Source organism: Homo sapiens, chromosome 2 (genome assembly GCF_000001405.40).
Source record: "Homo sapiens chromosome 2, GRCh38.p14 Primary Assembly".
NCBI lineage: Eukaryota > Metazoa > Chordata > Mammalia > Primates > Hominidae > Homo > Homo sapiens.
In genome coordinates this window covers 83,208,590-83,219,347 of record NC_000002.12, presented here as the reverse complement: position 1 = coordinate 83,219,347, position 10,758 = coordinate 83,208,590, and the positions used below count along the sequence as shown (strand labels likewise).

The following is a 10,758-nucleotide window of genomic DNA, read 5'->3' as shown; positions in this document are numbered from 1 at the left end:
CAGCCCACACTTCGCAAGTTACACAAGAGAAAAACTCACCAAGAGGGAGGCAAGACCTCATTTAGGCTGACATATGAATCAATTTAATTCTTATATTGAAATGTATAACATACACTATGTCTTCACAGAATGTCCTTTCCTTGACAACCCCCAAATCTTGGTGGAGGAATTAGGATGGAGGTGGAGATTGTCAGAGACAACCACACTAGACACAGAGATCGTACATCTAAATTCATAATAATGTAACATTCAGGGATGTGGCCATAGAATTGTCTCCAGAAGAGTGGAAATGCCTGCACCCTGCCCAGCAGAATTTGTATAGAGATGTGATGTTGGAGAACTACAGAAACCTGGTCTCCCTGGGTGTTGCTATCTCTAACCCAGACCTGGTCACCTGTCTGGAGCAAATAAAAGAGCCCTACAATGTGAAGATACATAAGATCGTAGCCAGACTCCCAGGCAGGTGAGAGTGAATGAAGCAGAGGACACAGGCAAGGGGACCAAAGGTGAAGAAGGAAGCCAGGCCTTAAAATGTGGTTTGGGGCTGGGTGCAATGGCTCACGCCTGTAATCCAAGCACTTTGGGAGGCTGAGGCGGGTGGATCACGAGGTCAAGAGATAGAGACCATCCTGGCCAACATGGTGAAACCCCATCTCTACTAAAAATGCGAAAATTAGCTGGGCATGGTGGTGCTCACCTGTAGTCCCAGCTACTTGGGAGGCTGAAGCAGGATAATCGCTTGAACTCAGGAGGCGGAGGTTGCAGTGAGCCGAGATCACGCCACTGCACTTCAGCCTGGTGACAGAGCTAGACTCCGTCTCAAAATAAATAAATAAATTAATAAAAACAGGTAGTTTGGGAAATTCTGCTCCAATGAAAATAATTTCTGAAAAAGCTGCATTTTTTCTCATGTTCACAAATAGGGGCATCTTCTGTCCCATGCTGTTAAATCTTCTAAGAATTCTCTTTTTGCTTTAGTGATCTCCCTTTAAGTTTACAGAGAGAGCTAATATCCACTTTATCACTTATAAGGTGCTGCATGATCTGACTACTGTTCCATTGCTTGTGGAGACATTGGAATATTTGTGTTATTGAGGAGCTCTATGTCAAAGATTTTTTTTCAAATATTCTTTTTGTATCATGTCCAAAATGTGTAACATGAGTAGTGGACATACTGGGATTTGGTTCAGCAATGCCAGGAACACCAGGGACAGACGTTGCGTCTTTTCTGCTTAGTGTTTTTTAATCCTATAGAGGTTGCAAATGTAATTCTGCAAAATTCTTACTCAGCAATTTTATCAGAACAATAAGCATTTCCTAAATATGAAAAAATGTAATGTTATTTTACTTCAAAATGTTACTGTTTTAGTATAAACTCGTTTGTAATTTAAACTCTATATGTGCAAATGTTGAAATTATAATAAGTTTTAAGCATGAGTTTCCAACATTTTGGCTTCCCTGGGCCACACTGGAAGAATTGTCTTCGGCCACATATAAAATACACTAACACTAATGATAGCTGATGAGCTTGGATCACCTGAGATCGGGAGTAGGATACCAGCCTGACCAACATGGAGAAACCCCGTCTCTACTAAAAATACAAAATTAGCTGGGCGTGGTGGCGCATTCCTGTAATTCCAGCTACTTGGGAGGCTGAGGCAGGAGAATTGCTTGAACCCAGGAGGCAGAGGCTGCGGTTTGCCGAGATTTCGCCGTTGCACTCCAGCCTGGGCAACAAGAGTGAAACTCTGTCTCCAAAAAAAAAAAAAAAAAAAGGTTTTGAAAAATTTTTGTGATATCTTCCACCACAGAAGATAAGCAAAAAAGTCCTTGCATTCCAAGGGTTGGACACCACTGGATTAAAGTATCTACTCACCTTGTATATTCCTTAAATGCATTGTATCATTAACCAGCATTAATGTGCTATGTCATTAACCAGCATAGAACATTGCTAAGTGTATATTAAGCTCTCAATTGTTCTCTTATTTGTTAATAGCTATTATAATTTTGTCTCAGTAGGAAGTCTGTTGAGATCCTGTCATTGAGATATATCTCTCTGTAGCTATTTAAAAATGTGTGTCTCACACACACATCTATATAAGTTATATAAATGAGTAGTAAGTTCTCACTTAACATTGTTGATAGGTTCTTGGAAACTGAGGGAAGCAACATATTGTTTAGGAAAACTAATTTTACGAAAGTTTAATTGATATAAACAAGAGTTATGTTTGAATGGCATATAGCAACATTGTTTCATTTAACAATGCAGTTTTTAAGAACCTAATTTGAACGTTAAGTCAGGACTTACTGTACATCTGTGTTTGTGTGACATAGATTTTTCTGATAAATAAAAATTACGTAACTTAAAAAAAAAAAGAAAATAAGCAATGATTCTAATTATGGTGATACAAAGGCCAGGTTAGAGTAGAATTAAGCCAGAGTAGGAAACAGCACGTTATTTTGTCCTTCCTTCCTTTGCCTTCATCTATCTTTATGTGCATTTATCATGGTTAGGACAGAAGAATGCAGAAGTCAGCTGATCTCATTTCTAATTATCTGTATATTAAAAGTCTGAAGAAAGATATTTCTGGTAAATGACCGGAACTGAATCAGGACATCAGGAAATTTCTTTGAAAAGATACAATTAGGGTTCCTACAGGTAAAGGCAGACCCAGGCAGCACTGTGAAGCTTGTTCTAAGTGTGTCTAATAGTCTTCTCTCCTACCACCCTCAGAATTTCCCTTTTTCCATTCAGCGGCTATCTACCTAGTTTTCCAGATCTATATATTAAAACATCATCCCTGGAAAAAATAAGGAAAATAATGTTACCTAGCTATTTATAAAGCACTTAGCTATAAGTCAGGGACTGAGTTAAGCACATGACATACATTATTCTACAAAACTTCATACCGACAAGTGAATAGATATTATTACCCCAGTTTTTCAGATAGTAAAATTGGGATTCAAGGAGATTAAGTTGGTTGTGAAAAGTCATGCAACTAGAATATAGCAGAGCCAGAATTAGAACTCAGGCTTACTGAATTCCAAAGCACACATTCTCATTCCTCAGGAGACAATGCTTTTCTTTATACCATAACATCTGAAATCCCCTGGCCCTCACCTCAATTTGCATAATGTCAGTAAAGGACTATCTATGTATATTCCACTCTCTTGGGAATACTTTTCTCATTTGATAAATTTTCTACACCATCTGTATTATTTTACAACATTGGCAGGTGAATATGATAACCTATCCAAACTTTTTAGCGTGACAATTCGTTGATCTAATCCACAGAAAGCATTGATAATAACATATATTTGTTCCTATATGGAACCAATAGAATAAACATTCAGGACCATCAGCTATGCCACAGTGTAAAATGAGATAATATAATTGAAAATGTTCAAAAATATTACTATAAAACTTATTAGGTAATGCTAATAAAATCAAAATTGTTTCCTACTTATTTGATAAGTATTCTGTGCAAACAAATGGATATTTTCATGAAACTTTTTAAAAATTATCTTACGTGAACTAGATTAAAATACAGAAACATAATTGCCAAACAGTAGTGAAGTAATCTCTTTTTTTCTTTCTCTTTGTTTCTTTTTCTTTTCTATCTCTCCTTCGCATGAAGGTATATGCTTTATGAGTGATCTAATTATGAATAAAGGGAAGCATTGCTAAGCAATTAGATTTTTTAGGTAAGTAGGAACATCATAATTATAATATTCCAGATACTTTTCTGAGGATAGAATAGAAAAATGATTCTGTACAACTATTTCTTGAATAGAAAACTGACCTCTAGATTTTTCTGTTTGTGTCCTACTCTTGTACAGAGTAGTTTCTGACTTTGTAGATTTTGGGTTGGCTTCTGTAAGGCTGGGTTTCTATGTTTTGAAAGTCCCCTCAACTTGTGCCACCTCTTGTTCAGCCAAATCTAAATCATGCTACCTCTCTTCTGAGAGACAAAATCCATACTGATCACTGACGCCTGGAACTTTTCCCCATAAATATACAGATTTTCTGAGCAATACCATATCTCAGAAATAAGTGGGCACTTGTCAAACAGAGGGCTCTGAGTAAGTATGGATAAAATATTGGCTGGGGAAATGGGCCAACTTTAGATAGTGTCTGATAGGCTGTTCTTTTCATAAGAAATTTTTTTTAATTGAAACTTGGATATGCTAATATTTTGTTACAGTTAGCCTATATACGACTGCAATTGAGAACAGAATTCAAATCACTTACCATAAAGCTCCTGGTGACCATTACCATGTGTGTAAAGGCATTTGACCAATGAACTTGCCATAAAAGCCCCATGACCTTTGGGTTGGTTTTCCTGCCTGGAACATAAGATGATATCCCCTGGGTGCTCTGCCCTAACTCCACACCAATCTATTGACAACTTAGCTACAGCCTGGCCATGACACTTGGTTAATGAGTCCCAAATGTATTTGCCACAACGTAAAAAAATGGTAAATTTGTTGACTTCATGTGACCTGCTCATCCAAGCTTCCGCTCTGCTTGAAAATGTTGGGGGTCGGGGGAGAGGGGGCGCAGGGTGCAGTGGCTCATGCCTGTAATCCCAGCACTTTGGGAGGCCGAGGCGGGTGGATCATGAGGTCAGGAGATCAAGACCATCCTGGCTAATATGCTGAAACCCAGTCTCTACTAAAAATACAAAAAAATTAGCCCAGCTTGGTGGCAGGTGCCTGTAATCCCAGCTACTTGCGGGGCTGAGGCGGGGAATTGCTTGAACCTGGGGGGCAGAGGTTGCAGGGAGCCGAGATTGCACCACAGCACTCCAACCTGGGCGACAGAGTGAGACTCCGTCTGAAAAAAAAAAAAGAAGAAAACTTGTGGGGAAAAATAGTCCACTGTCATTCTGTTCCAATTGTTTGAGATACTTCACGTTTTTGATAAATTTCTATTCCTTCATACCTTTTCTCTTATCCACTACTACTCTCCCAGATCGTGTCTAAGTATGTGCAGAAAAAATGCTTTCAGGACCTCAAATCAAAGAGGAGGGAATTTTTTGCTTTCTGATGTAAGTATTGTCCTATCCTATATTTGTCTTGATATCATTGTCAACCCCTTTTCTTCTGGATGCCAGTCATCCTGATGGCCTTTCTGGCCACAGATTAAGCACAATGATCTTAAGAAGATAATCTCTTCTCACTAATGGAACCCTGGTATTTTGTGCCAAGACAGTCTCACAATAATACCTAGGGGCATCAGGTACTCATTCAGGCCTAAATTCACTCTCTTTCGATCTACTGTCCAAGCTCTGTCCTGCCACTCATGGACACAGGCTCAATTCTCACCCACCATAAACTCCCTTGAGTGGCTCACCAGCCACTCATCTTGCCTTCTTTCTGCATTTATCTCCCAGCTATAGGACACCTGGACATTCCTTGATATATTTCACAATCATAGGAGCCAATGTGGCTTAAACATTCAAATATGAGTTTTTTCTCAGCCTAATCCCATGATCTACAGGGACTTGCCATGTGGTTCAGACCAAAGCACATCAAAAAATACTCTGCTCATGGCTTTATTCTAATCCTACTGAAGATAACTTACGTGCTGAAGGGATCATCAGGACTCATTTCATCACATTCATCACATTCAGTTGTCTTTTTCATTGTTTGTTTTGTTTTTGTTTGTTTGTTTGAGACAGGGTCTCTCTCTGTTGCTCAGGTTGAACTGCAGTGGTGCCATCTCAGCTCACTGCAACCTCTGCCTCCCAGATTCAAGTGATTCTCATACCTCAGCCTCCTGCATAGCTGGAATTACAGGTGTGTCACCACAATGGGTTAATGTTTGTATTTTTAGTGGATATGGGGTTTCACCATATTGGGCAGGCTGGTCTTGAACTCCTGGCCTCAGGCAATCTGCCGACCTTGGCCTCCCAAAGCGCTGGTGTTACAGGGGTGAGGCACGGCACTTGCCCCCTTTCAGTTGTCTTTTGATACTTTGGGAATGGAAGATCCAATTTTCTGTTAGTTCTAGTTTATAACCTGGGTATGTAGAATTAACACTCATCATGAGCGGATTTTGATATGTAAAATGGAAGTTTAATACATTGAGGAAATGTACTTTCTCTTCTCAGAATTTCAAGGATTTCAGGTCTGTTTCATTGCTTTGGAAACTCAGAGACATTCAATGGCCTCTTTATTCCAAGTCAGACCCTGTTTCTCCTTTACTGACCAACAAGCTCCAGTAAGCCCTAGGATAGAAATCTTTCAATTCAGTGTAATTTAAGTGGGAAATGAGAAAAAAAAAGTAACAGTTACAACACATGTCCTCATCATATCTGTCCTTCAACTTTGTAGTAAATTTCTCTTCTCAAATGAAAATCTGATATTAAAGTACAGAATTCTTCTTTGGATAATTCTTCCAAAATATTTTACACATTTGGGTCTATAAGGACAAACTGTAGAGATCAAGTCCACCATTTGGCCTGAAACCTGGCCATCTTTCATGGTGGGATCTTTCCACCAAACAGAGACTGAAAGTCTCACCACGACTGTGGGAGTTAATACACCTGGCTGCACTTGTGAAGCCCAGAGAGGACTTCCCTTCTCTAACTTCTGACACTTCTTCTGTCCTTGCTCCAAGCACAGATTAAATAATATATGATAAATAAAACTTCTACTGAATGCTATCAGATTGCATTTAACTGTGAAAGTAACTTTAATAATTTAATTCAGGAACCAAAATGAGCACAAGTTTCATTTATTGCAAAGACCACAGATGCCTCTTATGTCAGTGTCAGTCATTGCATACTTATTCAAAACATTTTTCAAATTCTCATATAGTATTCTAATGATTTATTTTATTATAATGCCACTTATTTTATTATCTCAATACCTACTTCTCTTTCTCTCTCTTGCACCAAACTTTCTGGAGGAGAAAGCCAATATTTCAAAAGAAAAAGGAGATAGGTCTGTGTTTATTTGGAGTTTCCAAAATTGTTGCTCTTACAATAAATACATTCATTTATTAAAAACCCTGTCTATTTGTTTAACAATGTGAACAATAAAAATTGATATTTCTTATGAAATTATAACATTGCCTAATTACTTCTGGAAATGTGACTGGAAGGATATATAATCCTCAGGATACAAGGAAGCTTAAGAAATTATCATTACCCATTAATAATTCAGATAATTGTGGAAAAAAAATTCCATACAAATTCAAAAAGTTTATGCTAATTACCAAAATTATAGGCACTGTCATTAAGACAAATTAGGTAGGCAGGAAGGTACTTAGTGGGAATTATTGAAGAAGAAGATGAGGAAAATAAATCTATCTGTCTAGGTATCTATCTATTTTCTATTTATCACCTATCTATATCTTGAGGGTTAAGAAATATCCACATTTGCTCTAAACAAAAACATTGTGGAGTGTTTCAAAATTTTGACAGGCTTAGTAATTTGTATAACATAATCATTAGATGGGTAAACAAGTATTAGATGTAGGATTCCCTTATTCTTTTGTTATTTCCTGGCTGTTTCTAAAAGGGAATAGGCATAAGTTAATGAAACTATCTTTTCCTAGTAGGTAGAAAATGGCAATTCGTTTTATATTATGTGGGGTTGTGCTTTGTCTTACTACAATATTCACTATCAATCACAATTTATTTGACGTTTTCCACTTAATTTTGTTTTCTTTTAACCTATGTTGTGTTAGAATCCAAAATATCTCTTAAATTAAATTGTTAAGCAACTTATTAATCTATAACAGGTAAAGGCAAAGATCATCACTGTGGAAATGCAAATGAAACTTCAGCAAAGTTTGCTCCATTTTAATGTGCATTCAGAAATCACTTCCACTTATTTGCATATTTGCATATTAATTTACTTTGTCTCGGCTTTTCCAGCAGAGCACAGCATATTTTCATCATCTCTTTTCTATTATCCTAATGTTTGTGCTAAGCTCGCTTGGTTACTATCCAACCATTTTAGGAGAATTCATTATTTTCCAGAATTACAATACCCTCATTGTTGGCTAGAGGTGATTAATTACTGATTGCGTACTTACTTTATCAGGGAATACATGAAGAAGATAAAATAAAATGCTTGAGTTTGTTTTCTTGTTCATTATTAAGAAAATTACTACTAAATTTTTATTAACTATCATTTAAATTAATTCAATGTTAACCCCAAATTATAGATTTAAAATATCAACATAGTTTAATACAAAGCAACTATGTACATATCTAACTTAAGAATTTTTAAGTGGCATTACAAAATGGAGTGCTTAATAAGTAGTGCTTGGGACTATAAAATAAAATATGTAATAAACCTGCCACACTTATGAATTGATTATTTTAAATTATAATTGAACAAATAAAATTAATCTTAGAGTTTTAAGAGGACATTTTCTTTTATAGGATCATGGCTCCTATCAGCCTGAAGTAGTCTACTTTGTTATAATAAAACAGTGTAGTGTTTTCTGAGCAGGTTACTCCCAAACAACATTGTATTCTAATTCTTTTTACATCTTCAAATAGAACGAAGGACAATGCAACCAAATAAGTTGTACTGCGCTTTGTTCAAGTACAAATGTACAGATCAAATAAATATCTATTATATGCTTTGCAGAAGGCTAAGGAATGAGAAAATATCAGGGCCTTCACATTGTGAAAGTAACTCAGGTCTGCTCACTTTGTTTCAACAAAGTTCTGCAGAGAATAATATATGCATAAATGTCTCACCATGAACTAAATAATTAATAATCTTTAGTTTCCTTGGAAAATGGGATAGGAGCTACTAGAATTATTGTTCTAGGTTTTGCCATAAATTTGCTAATATGTGGTGTTACTCATTTACTACATCTCAAATTTAGTGTTTAAATTTATATAGAAATGATTTAATCGATATAATTCCAGTTATTTATCTTGTTAAGCTCTGAAGCCTCCTCAATTGAAGGATAAACATTTGGACAAGAAATAGTTGGTAAATAGGACCTGTGTTGGCATTGTAAATTGCTGAGATGAAAGTTATGCTAATATTCAACCTCTGGAATTTTATGTTTCTTAGCAACTCTGAAATTCATTTGACATTCACTAGATTAAACGTGATTTCATGTTCTATCAGAAGAAATTCTCTTAAATAGTCCTGTACCTGAAGCACATTAACGATTGAAAGTTCAACTAAACAAACATCTACATACCAGGGGTTGCCTTAAGGAATATATCAACTGAAGGTGTGATAAGGGCTGAAATTATTTTTAAAAGTCTTAAATAAGAAATCATTGAAACATTTAAAAATACTTTTATTATTTTGGAGATACTGATAAAATGTATTTTCTTAACGGCTTCTTCTCCTTACCAAATTTCGTTTTTTAAATACCATAAATTAGAGAGATTATTCCTTAATTTTGAGACTGAGATTAATAAATGCAAGTACAACATCACAACATATTCCCTGGTACCCTTAGAAAGCAATTCCCAAACTGAGATTCTTCTAACTGGTCCTTTGTCATAATTCATTTTTTATAATGAATTTCTTCTCCTTTGGGCATAAACTAAATCAGCACAGTCTTACAGTAAAATCTTTAGAAATATAACTTTTCATAATAGGTTAATAATAAGGAAAGAGATTTCACACTGATTTTCCCTAGAGTATTTCTATTAAAGCTAATGGCTTTTAAAGTTTGCTTGAAAGTTTTAGCTTTTTAATAACTTTTAATGTGCTTGGAGCATGGCACAATAGCCAAAGACTCAGGATCTCCTTTGTAAAAGAAGAATAACTCAAACAGCCCTATAGTTCCTAGGTCCATTCTAGTAAAATGAAGTGCCTTCTTTATTTCCTCACTTGTGATAATTCCCATGGATGTTACGTGGTGATAATAGTTAGCTATAATAAAGATTACATGGTGATAATAGTTAGCTATAATAAAGATTATGTTTCCAGATCATTTTCATGGAGGGAATTATGAATTGGGAATTGAATTTAAAAACGTGGCACTTCGCAGGACTGGTGATAATCAAAGATGATGTTCATTTGAGATCATCATCCAAAGAAGAAGTCAAAGGTGGACAACAATAACAAAAGAAGACCTCCTTAGTTCAATATGTCATTCTCATATAATTACTAAAACATGAGTTCCAGCCTAAGATTTAACAATTAGTAGGTATGTGATAACAATCATGTCCTTTAATCTTTAATCTTCAAATTTTTCATCTACTGTGATGACAAAGATAATGCATGAAATTACTTAACAGTATATCGCCAAGAGTCATCATCTAAAATGCTTAATTTTCATTATTCAAGGCTAAAATTCATATTAAACTAGTTTTTCATAACCCACATTTTCAAGGTGCACATAGATTATGCAGAAGTGAATAGCACAGGAGTGAATTGCTTTATGCTCAAGAAAGCACTTATGTTTTACTTCTTGTAAAACTTTTATAAATGAAGTAAACCCTACCTACCAAATTATAATAGTGATCCCCAATGGACTATGAAATAAATGTCTTCTTTTATTCACTGTTGTTTTTACAAGAATTAAGTTGCTATATATATATATGCTTCATCACCTACTACAACGTAGATTTATATTGGTACTTTTTTTTTCAGTCATAAACCCTTTGCTATCTGCTTTGTAGAAAATATAAAATTTGGGCTAGGTACGATGGCTTACACCTGTAGTCCCAGCACTTTGGGAGGCCAAGGTGGGAGCATCACTTGAAGCCAGGAGTTGGAAACCAGCCTGAGCAACATAGTGAAACTCCACCTCTACAA

At 35.9% G+C, this 10,758-nt stretch overlaps 1 pseudogene; it reads left to right on the top strand.

The window, feature by feature from the left end:
• Positions 1–242: 242 nt before the first annotated feature.
• On the top strand, positions 243–5,888 carry LOC112268410 (zinc finger protein 141-like; annotated as a pseudogene).
• Positions 5,889–10,758: the final 4,870 nt, after the last annotated feature.